The sequence below is a fragment of the Homo sapiens genome, chromosome 4 (genome assembly GCF_000001405.40).
Source record: "Homo sapiens chromosome 4, GRCh38.p14 Primary Assembly".
Lineage (NCBI taxonomy): Eukaryota > Metazoa > Chordata > Mammalia > Primates > Hominidae > Homo > Homo sapiens.
This window is the reverse complement of record NC_000004.12, coordinates 119,552,006-119,568,919: the sequence shown is the minus strand read 5'-3', so window position 1 is coordinate 119,568,919 and position 16,914 is coordinate 119,552,006. Positions and strand designations below refer to the sequence as shown.

General features: G+C 33.6%; 1 protein-coding gene across 4 annotated transcripts in view; it reads left to right on the top strand.

Moving 5' to 3' along the window:
- The window catches only part of PDE5A (phosphodiesterase 5A), a 134,402-nt gene that overhangs the window by 59,885 nt on the left and 57,603 nt on the right, over nucleotides 1-16,914 (top strand). For all 4 annotated transcript variants that reach the window (NM_001083.4, NM_033437.4, NM_033430.3 and 1 more), the window contains exons 4-9: nucleotides 1,776-1,847; nucleotides 3,510-3,599; nucleotides 5,950-6,087; nucleotides 8,557-8,624; nucleotides 15,174-15,282; nucleotides 16,283-16,370. In NM_001083.4, coding sequence (NP_001074.2) covers nucleotides 1,776-1,847; nucleotides 3,510-3,599; nucleotides 5,950-6,087; nucleotides 8,557-8,624; nucleotides 15,174-15,282; nucleotides 16,283-16,370 — 565 coding nt within the window. The remainder of the gene's footprint in view (nucleotides 1-1,775; nucleotides 1,848-3,509; nucleotides 3,600-5,949; nucleotides 6,088-8,556; nucleotides 8,625-15,173; nucleotides 15,283-16,282; nucleotides 16,371-16,914) is intronic.

The window sequence follows — 16,914 nt, the reverse complement described above, 5'->3', positions numbered from 1 at the left end:
TTATATTTTTGAGTGAGCAGGAGCTTTCTCTTTATTTTCTTGCTTAGTACATTGCTTCATACAGTTCCAGGTACAGATAGCATATCAATGTATACTTTTTGTACTGCATATTTATCAGAAACTTTGCATAATACTTTCTATATCTGTTTGAAACTCATCTTTCTTAAAACACAGATTTAAAGTTTATGTCTTTACTTTGTAAAACTATTTATTAGAGAAAAAAAATTTAAATGTCATTTCTGAGACTCCTTCTCTTTTACCCACATTAAGTGCCCCTTCAGTGCTCCTAGCAATCCATGGCCACTGTATCATGAAACTGATCCCACCATCCTACTACGCTATAAGTCTATGTTTATGTATCACTCATTCTTGATTCTGAGCTCGTTCAGAGTAATCACTTCCCCAGTTTTTTATTACTTTTTGGTACGTAATAGGCACTTCACTATTTGTTGAGTGGATGAATGAATACCTGAGCATTTAAAATAACCAAATTATACTACTCTATATTAGACCCCAATGACCTTCAAGTGGCTCTTATTATAGTTCCCGTGAACATTCGTAACTACAATCCAGACATTTTTGACCTTAGAGGAATTTTACTAGAAATTTAGTCACTGAGGTTAGAGCATCTAGAAATCTGCCACTCTTTTCAAGAGCTAAAGAGCATGTAAAAATAAGAGAGAGTTGCTCTAAGGGAAATGAAAAGGTATAGGATAATTGCATAATTCTGCTTTTAAAAACAATTAATATCCCTTTACCATATGGGCAAAAAAAAAAGAGAGAGAGAGAGAAAAATGTTAAGAAGACTAGAAAACTACATAAGACAAGAAGGTATTTCCCCTTCCTTGTTCTGCTATCCTAGAGGAGAATTTTATATCTTTTTCTTAAAGCTAAGATACTATAATGAGCTGAGAAAACAAAGTGAACCATCCACATAGAACTAAAGATACATATTTCTGAAGTATAGCCAGTTAGAGGATAATAGCTTATTCCACTGATACTAAATAGCAGAAGAAAGGAAAGAGTAGAATTAATAAGTAATAAAGAGGAGAGAAGAGTAAGTTGAAGGTCTTTATAGGACTAAGGTAATAACTCAAAATGAAGGTGGAACTAAAAGGTAAGTAACTTCCAAATGCCTTCTGATCTATTTGAAATAAGCCTCAGCATGTTAATTCCTGTTTTGATTTTTCAGTACCCTCTTTCCCAAAAATAAGTCTGTTGAAGGTAAAATAATTTTCAAGGGCAGAAATTTCAAAAGAAGTTGGACTGCATCCCTACATTAAGAATTATTTTTGCCCTAATGATCCTCCTGCATTCTTTCCATGATTGGCCACTAGGTCCTGTTTCATTTTTAGTAAAAGAGCATTTAGCCGTTTTGGAATATTATATTTAAAACCCATATAAAATGTTCATATTCTTATATACTTTATTGGAACTGTAATCAAAATGTGTTGTTTATATTTAAAAACTATGGAAAATATATACTTAAAATGTGATTGCTAAAATAATTTCATTCAAAATGCAGGGTGAAATCACAGGATCAAACATAGTTTGGGCCCTAATAAATTAAAAACATTCGAATTCTTATTAGGATGAAAGAATGTGGTAAATGATGTAAAGCTTGCTCAAATGCTGATGAGGGGTTTTGCTTTTGTTTTGTAGACTAGTGTTATTTTAAAGCACATGCAGGATATCTTCTATAAATACATTTTGGTGAATTTTTACAAGTAATTTCAGTCAATAAAAAAATTGTCGCTTTTCTCTCCTTATACCAGGTTGTTGGTGTAGCCCAGGCCATCAACAAGAAATCAGGAAACGGTGGGACATTTACTGAAAAAGATGAAAAGGTACCAAAACTTGTGTCAGACATGAGCCAATTTAGGAAGATGCTTTCTCTTTATAGTATATACACCTCTAGGTTTAGCTGTTGCTGAAATTGTTGGTCACACAAAAAAATTAGAGTTAAAAATGATCTGAAATGTTCAAGTGTATCTTAGGCTAAATAAAGCGATGATTTCACATCTGAGTACTTGTGTTATTCAGTCAGCAGAAACCCCCAAATTCCCTCCTTGCTGTGCTGCCAAGCCTGCACTGGGCATGTTGGGGCCACACAGAGGGTGACTTATGGTATTTTAACTATATCATTTACCTTTCATCACTGCTATAGAGATCCAACCTTGAGTAAAACCCCATAAAAACACTGCTCCAAGTTCAGCACTTTTGGTTGACTAAAAATTGGAATTGCCTCCTGGCGTAGCAAATTTCTGAATGTTTTATAAGCCTTGCGCACAGACAGTGGGGCGCCAAGGTATGAATTCAGGCTGGATGATGTAAATTTAGCTTCAGAGAGAGCAACAGCCAGCATTATTTTATTATACTTCTCGTTCAACTCTGAAGGAGTACCTTCCACACGCCTCATTGACATGCTTTCCATTTAAGGACAAAAGCCCGTAAACCTGTCGATAAATTCATTCTATGAGTAGGTTTTATTATTTTTCCTATTGAATAAGTAATTATGTGTATATCATAGCCTACTGAATTATTCCTATTCAAAGCCCATTGCTGTTTATGTTGTTCCCCTGAAAATTACTAGGAGCTTTTGAATTTGGAAGACGTTCAAACAAGACAGTTATTTTTATCTCTATGCTATAGGCTAGGTTGGCACCTGTGTTGCTCCCCTTGTTATAATTGCTTCAGAACATAGCAAATACTTTTTAAATCGAGTAATAGACATCTAGGCTCCTGTTCTGTTCATGGCACTTGAGAATATTTGGTGTGAAAACATGGTTCCTGGATTGGCTTTGAATTCCATTATTATGTCTATAATCCATTAATATAACTCCCTCTTGAATTGATTTGAATTTTTAAGGCTCTATCACATTGTGGATAAGATATGCTGTCTAAATATTTATTTCAATCAATAATTAATACTATTAATTATTATTAATTATAATAATATTAATTAATAATAATTAATAGTCAATCAATAATTAATATAATTAGAAACACATTACCCTAGTATAGTTTAATGAGGATGATAGATCCATGTTAAAAATGACATATTTAATGTTTGCAACTTTATATAATATTTAACTTTATGCTTTTATTGTGAATATTCTTTTAACAAGTATGTAAGCTGTTGTTTGCTGCAGTAATGAGTTACAAGCTATTTATATAATAATTTCAGCATAGATCCAAGTCTTAATATCATGGAGAGGCTAAACCAAATTTTGCATGGAATAAATTGTAACTTCAAGTGGTATAAAGAGATAAAGTCTTTATCTTAGTTCCTCTCCTTTTTCTCCTTATTGATTTATACCTAATTTATACCTTAGGAGACTATTCCAATACCTTTAGCTAAGACTTAGTTTATATCATCCTAATTTTATGTAGAACAAACATCTATTCTTTTGGCTTTCTAACTGTAAATATTTGAGGATCTGTATTTCAGGCAATGTAACTAGACTGTTTTATGTACCGTTTTTATTTGTCTATTATCTGTTTTTTAGGACTTTGCTGCTTATTTGGCATTTTGTGGTATTGTTCTTCATAATGCTCAGCTCTATGAGACTTCACTGCTGGAGAACAAGAGAAATCAGGTCAGTCTGATTACTAAAGAAAGTGCATAGAAATACTTTTTAAAAATTGTTACATTTTTATCCAAGTAATGTATGCAGATGATTAAAAATTTAGATAGTACAGATTCAGTTTCTCAATACTTTATTTTTTCTAGTAGTCATTTGTATTTCCTATTTTCCATGCTTAGTTGTTTATCTTATTAGACAATGTTCATTAACTTGGGAGATGAGAATTTATTTGACTTACACCACACGTTACTTGCCATTACTCTTATCCTACTGGAATCATTCTGTCACTGTTTTAAGTCACTGTATGGGTTGCACTTGTGTTGTTAAATAATGGTTTTAGTTCTTGCTCTGTCAACTGTAGATATTACTCTTGATTTCATACTTTGTAAGACAGGTGTCTTAGCATCCCCTGTTCTCTTTATCTCTTTTTCCCAACTACCGCTCCTTAGCCCTGCTTTTTCCATCTGGACTTTTTCTTTTACAATTGCCCACATTGGTAATATATACTGTTCTACAACCATGATGAACTTTTCCTGGGCTTTGTCTAGGTTAATTCTAAAGTTGCAATTCTAAAGAAACTATTTATAAGCACTATAATTATGTAAATGTTGTTCATACTACCTTTGTTACAGAACTTTTCATTTTTCCTGATGTTTCTGAATTTTTTTCCTTGAACTCTTTGCTCTAGTATAGCCTCATGTTCTTGTTTCCTCCTCTCCCCAAACTCCATTATATTAGGCATCCTGTTGAGTTCCCCTTCTGCTTCTGTTTGCAGAGGTCCAAACTGAGGTTCTCCAACCTTTCTTCTTCCAAGCTACACTATTTAGCCCTATGCCTGCTACACTAGTGTCATCATAGAACTTTTCTTCATTGCTTTCTTAGATTCCACTATCTTTTGGATCCCCTACTTCTTTCTCACTTCCTTATTTTGTTGCAGCACATTCTCAATTAACTACTTAAGAAAGGGCATTGGTAAAGTAAACTTTCTGAGTCCTTGCATGTATGAAAATATGTATTGTAGCATCCTGCCACTTTGGCTGGGTATAAAATTCTAAACTGAAAAATCAGTTTCTCAGAATTTAGAAGTAGTGCTTTGTCTTCTAACTAGCATCCATGTTGTCCTTATTCTTAGCTCTTTTGTAGCTATATTTATTATCTACAATATAAATATATAACATGGCATATAATACATATTTTGTATTTTTATATTATTATTTATATCTATTTTTGTCTATGTGTCTATAAGCTTTTCAGATTATTTATATTTGCTTTTGTAACTTAATTTCACAGTATTTTTTTTCATTCATCATGCTGGTATCTGTATGTTGGTTCATCTCTTTGGAGGTTTAAGCAAACTGTTTACTTCTGTGTAATTCTTTTTTCATTATTTCTTTGATAATTCATCTTCTCTACCCTCTATTTTCTCTGTTTAGAATCTGTGTTAATAAGATATGGGACCTTCCATTGACTTTAACTGCAATGTTCTCCCTGTTCTATTCTTGCCATCCTTTCATCCAGTCCCCATTTTTACAAACAGATGGGATCACACCACTTCCTTCCTGCAGTGCATCACAGTCGAAACTGCTTCAAAAGACATACAGTGCTTTTCAGGTTCTTTTTCTACTTAACGCTGCAACCTCATCTCCCAGTTCTTCTCTTTATAGTCTGTGCTCTTATAAAATCTAATCAAAACTTTCAGTATACCACTTTCTCTGAATTCTATTATTTTTGCCTGAAATATTTCTCTTCCCTATTTCACCTGAATGATTCCTGCTCATCTTTCAGACCTCAGCTAGGATAGCGTCACCTCCACTAAGTTTTTGGTAATACTTATGAGGTTCAGAAGAAAGAGAAATCTACCAGAAAAAAACACAAAGGAAATTCTTAAAACTTTGTTTACTTTGACGGGTAATATTTACTGTGCTCTGTAAAAATATTGATAATGTTGACAAATGTTGATCTGAAAAGTTTGGAACAACATTAACAGTGCGTTTTATGTACCAGATAGTGTTCAAAATACTTTATAAATATTATCTTAATCCTCCTAACAGCCCTATGATTTTAATGTCATTAATATCCCCATGTTGAAGAAATTTGCCCTCAGTCTCAAAGCTAGCAGTAAAGGAAGTCAGGATTAAAAACTGATTACTCTGGCTTCAGAGGCTGTGATCTTAACAACTATATTAACTATATTAACAGTCAATAAAGGATTTTGTTAATAAGTGGAGACGTATTTATATTTGAATGCAGACTTGATCATAACCTGCTAGGTTATATAAACAATTTATAACCCATATAAATAATTGTGCTTTAATAATTACAATCAATTGCTAAATAATGAGCTCCTAATTTTTTTGTCTAGGTGCTGCTTGACCTTGCTAGTTTAATTTTTGAAGAACAACAATCATTAGAAGTAATTTTGAAGAAAATAGCTGCCACTATTATCTCTTTCATGCAAGTGCAGAAATGCACCATTTTCATAGTGGATGAAGATTGCTCCGTGAGTACAGAGTATGACTTTTTTATTTTTAGAAAGACAGAAACTTATATTTCTATAAGCACTACTTTTAAACCTCATTTTGGTCTTAGAACCCTCTCTCAAACCCAAATGTGTATGAATATGTATATAAAACTAATCAGGGTATGAGCTGTTCTGGTTGAAGACAGGTAGGGGTGGAGGGTGGAGGGTGTCTTCATCAGCCTTTTTTTACCTCTGTTCATGTCCCCATCCCAACCTCCTGAAAATAGTTACCATGGGAATGTCTGTGTGCTGCTTCTACCAATGGCTACACTGTCTTCATGGAGAAATATATTGTCATTACAGTGTGCTGACTTTTCATGGTCAGGAATACTGGTGACCTAGTTGCTATGAACAGGCAGACCAGACTCCTCATTCTGGATGGGTTGGGTATAAAAATTTCTTCTTACTAGAAATTGTATAGAAACCAAAAGGCATAGCCAGTAGGAGTATTACTAATGGTCCCCATAAGTCCCATATTTTTACCAACAGTGGAAAACCACTAAGCTGTTCTAACTGGTAGATTTCAGTCCATTGATTTTGTAATGTGAAGAAACATTTTCAGGTGTCTGGGGTAAGATAGACTGTTGTCACAGAGTGCTAGTTACAGCCAGGCCAGCTGTCTTGAGTTTGCCAGTAGAATCAGGGCCCCTGGCCTAAGGCAGTTTTTCTTTATGCACTTTCTCTCCCTTCTCAACCTATGAACCACTGTTTCTGGAATATTTCTTTTTGCTGTAGTTGTTTGTTTTCTTTTTCCTTTAGTCCCTAAGAATAGGTTGTTCATTTGTGGATTAATAGGAAAGAGAGCGTGCACTATCACTTGTATAGGTCAATTATAATCTACATATGATATCCGAAGTTATGTTTTGGGGCAAAGTAGAATAATAAAAGGTATTCAGTACTTAATTTATATTAAGAAATTTTAGTTGATTTAGATATAAGGACTATACTGTATGACCCAACATCTCAACCATTTGGGATGTGTATATGTGTCAGATGAATGCATTGTTTAATACAAAATTCTGATTAATATCAAATGAGAACTCAGTAGGCTAAAAGGTAATCAGTATTTTCATAGATACTATTTCATATTTTTCAATCAGTTATAAAATCCTTAATATAGAGGTGATTTTAATATAGTAGCCATGCCATCATTTTAAACTTCAGGTCAGAATTCCTTAATGTAGTATGTCACTTAATCTGTAATTTTTGCTCTATGACCCACTTTTTGCATTTAATTTTTGAAAGTTATATGTGAAGCACTCCTTTTTTTACACAACTTAAATATCACTTTAATTCGCACTCAATGGATACTTCTACCAGTTAACACCTGTTATGGTAGTACACTGATTTGGATCAGTGCTACTTGGAAGTATAGCGCAACAATATGCTTATTAAGATATTTTGCTTACTTTTTGACTACTTAAGTTGTAGGATTTAGAAAAGGAATTAGGTGACTTTATATTCATTTGTATTACATTTATTTGTTGTTTAAAAGTACATCAACAACATGAGCAAAGGTGAAAATGTAAGAAGGAAAGAAATGTACAGATTTCTTCCATCCCCAGATTAAACTATCATTTTTTTTTTCTGTTTTCTTCCAATTCTGTATAAATAGAGCATGGGCATAATGTGCTGTTCTGCTTTTTAATGTGATTTAAAAAATTTTTTTTCTTTCTTATTTTCGAGACAGAGTATTGCTGTATCATTCAGGCTGGAGTGCAGTGGCACGATCTCACCATCGCAGCTCACTGCAACCTTGGTCTCCCAGGTTCAAGAAATTCTTGTGCCTCAGCCTTCCCAGTAGTTGGGATGACAGAGGCATGCCCACAACATCCAGCTAATTTTTGTATTTTTAGTAGAGTAGGGGTTTTGCCATGTTGGCCAGTCTGGTCTCAAATTCCTGGCCTCAAGTGATCCACCCACCTTGGCCTCCCAAAGTGTTGGGATTATAGGCATGAACCACCACACCTTTAATGTAATTTCAAAAGTATTTCTCTATGTTGTTAAAATTTTCACAGTTATTTTAATAATCACATAAAGTATTACTGAATGAAACATCTTTTTAAGAAGGGATTCTTTACCTGGGATTTAACAACAATCAATGTACTTAAGCGTTAAAAGCCAAAACTTGAGAATTTTCAATAAGTGTAAAAAATTTTGAAACTAATAAATCCATCAGCACCTAGAAAAAAACAAATAGTCCTCATATAATCATTCTTCCAAGAGAAAATCAGAAATTATATGAACGAAACTTTTATTTTAATTAAATGGGAAGCAGTTTTGAGGATGTCATAAAATGAGTACTTGGGTCTATTTTGTCCAAGAATAAGTAAAAATATACTACAAGTATTGGGGTCTTTTGTCAATTCCATAGCATGTATGTCTGTATCTAGATAGTTTTCATTACCTTGTCAAACTTATTTCTCAGCCTGTGTTGTCTGTTTTTAGGATTCTTTTTCTAGTGTGTTTCACATGGAGTGTGAGGAATTAGAAAAATCATCTGATACATTAACAAGGTAAAAGCACGTATTCTCTACTTGTCTTTATCACATGATATAATATTGGCTAAATAGTTATTTCATGACCAGTTTGATTTAAGAAATATAAGCTACAGATTATTTTATTGTCTCTTGTCTTTTCTCACATTTACGGTCCTAAGTCGTCCTCCATCAAGATGGAGAGACTATTGACCACAGTGACTTAAAGTTGTTACTTTGTTAAGTATTTATATTTAAATCAAAACTCATTACTAGACTATTATTTTGACAATGTGGTACAAGGAAGGGCCTTTTCTCCTATTAAAGGATTTTAGGAATTAGCAAAGGGTGGGGTGTAACTTGGAGGCAGATGGGGAATTCATTTGACTCAGAAGGTAGACCTGACTTTAAGCCTTGACTGCTGACTTGGGCATGAAGTGAGTAGTCAAGGGAGATAAACCATGGATTGTCTAACCAGAGAGTTTTCTGATGTCCTGGAATTTGGGGTTCACATGGTCATAATTGAATTGCTGACCTTTATTTCCTTCTTGGCTTTGCTGATCATGCATTGAAGATTATATCCCGTCTCCACACCTATTCTGTCCTAAGCTCCTGTGCCATTGCATTTTCTAGCAGATTTGACATTGTTTTAGTTAGTATTGAATCCTTTTGAAATGTCTGAAAATGTGCACATTAATATATATTATTTTAATTTTATGATGCTGTAATATCTTTTTTCCTTTTTGGAAAGAAGATTTTAGAAAGTTTCTAGGTAGGACATATGTAAATATTTGAATATTTTACTTTTTGGCTTGCATAAATAATGAGTTCCTATACATAAATAGAAATATAGGCATCTCTGTTTATATATTTACCTTTACCTCCATGGGACAATAGGAACATCAGTATGATAATCATATTAAAAGTCCAAAATGATGAATTATCTACATTATCTTTTAATATTTGTGCAGCAGCATATCCCTGTGTATTATATTTTAGGTATTGGCTTTTGATTTTTTTCTTATAAATTCAGCCAGGCCCTCTAATTTCTTTTAGCAGTAGCTGGACAAATCCAGTGAATTGGTGTGATAGTGACCTCTACTGGTAAATATGCATTTAAAAAAACACAAAAATGTCTTGCTATATATATATTTGTTTCTAAATACCACATTCCCTCTCTGTAGGAAAAATGGAAAGGATCTTTCCACTTATTGATTTAATGATTCCAAGACAGTCTTAGTATAAAGATATTTTTTATAAAGGTTAAATAGGTCAGTGTGATTACCTTAAAAGAGACTAATTTACATGGATCATTTTAACTGATTTATTAATTGACTTTACAATAATGAAAATCATTTCAACAGTAATAGCTTATGTTAACTAAACATTTAAAGTTAGCTTTTTTTTTTTTTTTTTTTGAGACGGAGTCTCGCTCTGTCGCCCAGGCTGGAGTGCAGTGGCGGGATCTCGGCTCACTGCAAGCTCCGCCTCCCGGGTTCACGCCATTCTCCCGCCTCAGCCTCCCAAGTAGCTGGGACTACAGGCGCCCGCCACTACGCCCGGCTAATTTTTTGTATTTTTAGTAGAGACGGGGTTTCACTGTTTTTAGCTGGGATGGTAAAGTTAGCTTTTATTATAGTGATACAGTAAAAGGCCTCTGAGATTTTTTTTATTTTAATAAAAATTAGGTAACAGGCCTAAATTTGCAGTAACTGAATTTAAAATGGTGTTTAGTAATGTTAACATTTTGAAAAAGGGCAAAACTAATATTGATACTTATTTTTCACCAGCAAATTCTTTATTTTGTTCCTAAAACTGATTATTGGTAGGATTTAGGACTCCAATTCTCATTATTAAAAACTTTGCCAATCCAAACTTTGCCATCTCTCAATTTGATGAAGTACTAGGCAATTTGATGTTAGCAGTAAGCAAATCATTCTTTTCAGGAAGTTATTTATCAATTAAAAAGTATAGCTCATTCGAGATTTTTCCAACCAATCCACTAATGACCTCATAAATTAATATACTGAAGATGGTTTTGAAATGTTAAATGTAAAACAACATATTCAGGGTGAACATTACACATAATTATTAGAAGCATATCATAAAAGGGATAAAGCATAGTAAGCTCTTGGGAGTTGAGTTGCCCAGGAATTTCCAAAGGGAGGCTCATTTCCACATGGTGGGAAGTTTTAGAGTTTTTGTGCTTCAATTCAAGAGCCACCCAATTAGAAGGAAAAAAATGAGTATAATGTTGTGCCGTTTATGTTAGCTCTTTAAGAAGTAGATATTTTAGTGCTATAATTCCATACTAATTAACTTTATGTTCATTCACAAATGCACATTTGTGTCATAAAATGATAAATACATAGAATTAATCCTTTTAGGTCACTTTCTTGGAATATACATATTAGTTTATACTTGTTATTGATTATCATATTAGAAAATATAAGTGTAATTAAATAAGTAAAGACTACTACTTTAAAAAATTGTGGATACAGTGTAGAAGAATGTAGAAGTCAGATTGATTGTATTTAAATGTAAGTATTTAAGTTGCACCACATACTGGGCTTACTAGCTGTGAGACTTCATGTAAATTATTTAATCTCTCAAAGCCTCAGTTTCTTCATCTGTAGTGGTAGTAGGATTGTACTAAGAATCAAATAAGATAATGTATATAAAATGCTTCAGAAAATTTCTGGCATTCAGTAAGTGTTAGCTATTATTTCCATGTCTCTTTGATTTTTTTTTTATTTGTCTTTGGTTTACATTACCTGCAGTGACTCCCATTTAATTCTAAAGCACAGAAATTTATCTTTTCAAGCTCCACGTACCTAATTCTCTCATCCCAACAATGCACTCATATACAGTTCATTGATACACATTGTACAAAAAGCCTTAGATGTGTGAGTTAGTCCAGGTCTTCCAAGAAACAGATGCCAAGATTAGATTAAATGTGCAGAAATTTATTAGAGAAAACACCCTGTGAGAACCAGAGGGAAGGAGCCAGGAAAGCCATCAGACCAACACGAAAGTCTGACCCAGAGTTAAGGAGAGGAAGAAGGAAGGAAAGTTGTACAGAAGTATCCTAGACAGCTGAACAGTTCTAAGGAAGGTTTGGCAAGGCTGCTGGGAAGTCCTCTAGCTGAAATTTACTGTGAGAAGAATACTGGGCCTCCCAGGATTAGGCCTACTTTAGTGTCCCTAGTGTGCTCAGTCTTTTTCTCTGGGATCAACCCTGGTAGAGGTGACCTCAGTGCAAACTTGTTGATGGCTTCCAGAGCACAGCAACTTGAGACATTGGTCAGCTACTCTTTCTACAATTGGAGCTCTGAGGCACATTCTAAAGGACACTATAATATTCCCATCAGTAAAAGAATGAGATCCATATTCCTTGTATTACACTTTCAAAATCTTTCACTATCTGTCCTAGCCTAACATTTTCAGCCTGAAATCATCATTTTATTCTTGACAATCTGTAACTATTTAGTGTTTCCCAGTTACACATAGAACTCTTCCATGTCAGCAATGTGTTTTATACTGTTTCGTTTTGTTTTGTTTTTTCCTGCCTGGAATACTCTACCTTTCATTCCTGATGTCTCTCCTTTAAAAATTCTGAACCAACTGTGAATTCATTTCTCTAATGCTACCTCTTCCCTATTCCACTCCATTTAGGTGCTACCTGTCCATCTTCTCCACACGTGTGGTGCTTGCATTGTTACACCGTATCACTTAGGATTAGGCTTAACTGTGGATCATGAAAACCCAAAATAAAAATAGCTTAAACAAGAACACAGTATTATTACTCTCTCCTGTAAAAGCCCAGAGGTAGCCAGCTCAGGCTCGGTGCTGTAGCTGTGCTCCACAAAGACCTTGGGGACCAAGACACCTTTGGACTTTCTACCTTACATCCCTAGGATATGGCCCTTTCCTTCAGGGTCAAGGATGCAGCTCCAGTCATTATATCCACATTTTAAACAGTAGGATGGGGGACTGGGAAAGAAGGGACAGACAGCATGTATCACCTGTCTCTTAGGAAGGTTACTAGAAGCCATCACAGACATTTACTCTTACATCCTGTTGTCTAGAACTTAGCCAGATGGCAATACTAAGCCACTAGGGTGGCTGAGAAATGTGGTCTTTATTCTGGGTGGCCATATATGTCCAGACAAACAGAAGGGGAGGAGAATTATTGAAGGACAACTGGCAGTCTCTGCACTAGACTCTACCCAAATAGTCCATGTAATTTAAACACATTATTCATTCTGTTTCAGTCTTCTACTAGATTGTAAGCTCCTATGACAGTTACTAACCTATGTAAGTTTGTCGCCCATATACTGCTAAGGGTGCCTCTGATGGAGAAGGTATTCAATCTTTATTTATTGAGTTCAGGAACTAAAAATTTATCAACATTTCTTATAGAGTAAGAAACAAACATAGTATCATGTAACTTTAATAAATCTAATGCTCATTTTTCACTTAAAGTAACCATCAGGAAAACCTAAAAATTTCAAGGAGTTAAATAAGGTATCAGGTATTTGTTGATTTAGAAGTAGTTTTTCTACTTCTCTTTCTCTATATTAACTAGTGTAAGTCTGAATTTATGAACTCTGACAAATTGCTTAACCATTTTGGATTTTTTCCTGGCTCCTACTCTTAAAATAATGATGATGATAATTAAAATAATGATGATGAAGAATAATAATAGTTATTGATATGATAATTATCATTTTAAAAGAGATTTTACAAGGATACTTACTTCTCCAATATACTTCATTCTCCTGGTGGTCACCTTTTCATTTTTCTTCTTTTGTTCACTATAGCTTCTTATTTTCTTCTCTCTAGGCTGTTGCTATTTATAAAATATTTGTAGTTTTAAACATTGTTTTATTAAACTAAACCCTGCATTTATATAACCTTTTCTTGAGTGTCACTCAAATAATATGTATGAAGTAGGACCTCAGGAGTGTATTAGGTCTGATGTGTATGGTAACTGGCATGCCTTCACAGACTCTCAGCCTAGTCTCAAGAAATATTCAATTTAAAGTTCATTTACTATTATGTCACTCTTCTGTCATTTCCTTTTCATTCTTTTTCATGTATACATAATACTAGACAAGTGGTCAGTACTTGGTTTGACCAAATTACACTTAAAGTAAAATGTACAACAAAGGGAAGACTGAAATATTTTGACCAGGAACCAGGCCACAGGGTTCAGGAATCTTTGTGGAATCACTAGCGCTGAAGGACGCCATATGAAACCACTGTCCCAAGAAGCAGCTGGGTCAGGTTGGGTGGGAAGGACAGAAGATAGCAAAACATTGGAACTTTGGAAACTTAGAACAAGTGGACATTTTTCCTGAGATGTATGCTGTTGTCACTCAGTATCCTTGGGAAATTAGTTCCAGGAACCCCTACAGATACCAAAATCTGCAGACACTAAAGTCCCTTGTATAAAATGATGTAGTATTTGCCTATAACCTATGCACATCCACTCTATATTACTTATAATACCTAATACAATGTAAATGCTATTTAAATAATTGTTATGTTGTACTATTGTTTAAATTTATGTTATTTTTTATTTTTGTTTTTTTTCTTTGGTTTATTTTCAGTACTGCAGTTGGGTGTATCCAAAGACGTGGACTTGTGGGTACAGAGGGCCAACTGTATTTTATTTTGAAATGTCTACTATTGTTAGGTTTTCCTACTTCTTTAGTGATATTACAATTAAAATAAGCATGTTCTTATAGATAGAATAAATTCCCATAACCTGACCCTCTTTGCTGAATTTATCATCACCACAAGGGAACATACGGAGTTTCCTGATGAAAAAACATGTTCCATTCTGTTTTCCATCCCTTGCACTGACACTGTACCCCCTGGCATCAGATTAATCTTTCATGTTCACTCTGTTAAGCAAGAGACTGGAACATAACTGGTAAAAATATTGTAAGTTCATAAAAATTTCTTGAGGAAGATAAATTTTTAATTTTAAAAGTATCTTAAAGCATCTCAAAGCAGAAAAAAGGTGTAGAGAGGAAACTGAACAAAGGGAAAGATGCTAAGGAAGACACGACAAAAAGACAGAAGGAGAAAGAAAATAGACTTAACTAGAGAGAAGAGCTTTAAAAATTTTTTCTAAGCTGTTTGATTTTTCCCTTGGTCTTAAAATGTGTAAGATACTGTTTTATTGGAATGGATAGAGAAACCAAATAATGAGGAAGTGAAACAAGCACTAGACCTTAGGCATTCTATAATCTGATGGGAAAATAAGATATGAGGGGACATATGAGTTTACATTAAATGACACCAAAAATCACCATGCCCATTTGCGATGAGAATAAGGCCATTCACACTTATAAAACTTGTTGGAAATTTGTGGGATTTTGTTTTTTCAAAACATTTAAATTATGGTAACTGACAAAGTTGTAAATCATCAAACACATTTAAAGCTACATTTTCCAAATAAGTATATATGCCTTATAATTTAAGGCTGGTATTTTTCTCCCTTAATCATTTATTTAACTGTTTGCCCATGCTTTTTTTTAACTGCACAGAGGGAACTCATATCTGTTATTTTCACAGGGAACATGATGCAAACAAAATCAATTACATGTATGCTCAGTATGTCAAAAATACTATGGAACCACTTAATATCCCAGATGTCAGTAAGGATAAAAGATTTCCCTGGACAGTAAGTAACCCAATTTTAGACTTGAAGCTAGAAGGCTGTTTTCCCATCACATCTGTACTTACAGTTATTCTTGAACTGAAGGACTGGCTCTAGAATTGACTGTTTAGGAATGATCTGTGCTTTCCCTCATCTGAGGAAGGAGAATAAAATAGATCATAACATCTATTGAGAGCTGTAGCTGGACATTTTTCTTTGTACTTTTTTCACCTTTTTAAATGTCTATTAATAAGTTACCGTACTATTTTTGAAGTAATTTAGCTATTACCTACATAATGTCAATGACATTCCTTAGATAATATTGCTAGAGTTTTTGCCTTATTTGCAAAAATTAGTTTCTGTGTGGCTTGAACTGATGCAATTGGTAATCTGTCATAGTGAGTAGCTCTGGGAAAATGGATGTCTGTTTTTCTTGACCTCAAAGCTACAAATATCTAGTTCTCAGACACTGAAAAATTTGAATTATAGTATTTTCTCTCACCTCTTCAGGAAAGCATTGCACTTTGAGGCAGCTGCCTTGATTTTGTTATTTGGATGATTTTGTTATTTGGGTGTTATTTGGAGACATTGTTAGAACTTTAGCAATATAGCAATAGCAACAGTGGTATTATTAAAGGACAGGTTTGTAACACGGTGCATTTTAGGTGGCGTTTAGATTCTGCCCCTCTCGTTAAATTATTTGGGGCATTTACTACACTAGTATAGTAGATACTGTACTTTTACTTATTTTTTTTAACTTATTTTTATATTTTACTTATTATTAAGCTGCTTGGAAAGTTTAAAGTGAAAAAAATTCCGATATTTTTAACAAAGTAGACATTGCTTTATATTGCATTTATGTGAACTTCATTATAATTTATACATTTTCTGCTTTCCAATGCTCTCTAATATAAAAGTTGAATATATAGTGCTTTCAAATGTGTCATATAGTTTATATGGCATCTAATGGACAAATCAATCTCTTTACCATTTTAGCTGTTTTGTTCTTTTTATTTTTGTTTAGACTGAAAATACAGGAAATGTAAACCAGCAGTGCATTAGAAGTTTGCTTTGTACACCTATAAAAAATGGAAAGAAGAATAAAGTTATAGGTAAAACCTTTCCTTTAACCTATACTCTAAACTTATTTTTAAAAATGTATTCCCAGCTATACTTCTTTCTTTCAAATGTAAAGAATAAAATGTTTTAAAAAAGATAAAATTTGGAATGATAGAATAATTAAAATAATTGATAAATACCAACAGACATTTGTTAAATATCTTATAAACTATGGTGCACTTTTATAATTATTATCCTATTTCAGCAGAATTTTTTGTTTAAGAATGATTGATGATGTATTGAAATTTGGTAGACTGTATAAGAGATATTAAGTAGATAATGTGTATTGTTTTAGAGTCTTATTTCCTGGATGTTGACTTTTTTTAAGAATGTAGTTTAGGTTATAGGTTATATTTATTTATTCATTTAATATTTATTGAGCACTCCACTGTTCTTGGCAGTTGGGATAAATCAATGAACAAAGCAGAAATTCCTGCCCTCAGGAGCTTATGTTCTTAACATGATTATAGAAAAACCTCTACTTCAGGAATGATGGAAGAATGCATTCTCAGAAAAATTGAATGATGTTTCCTTTTA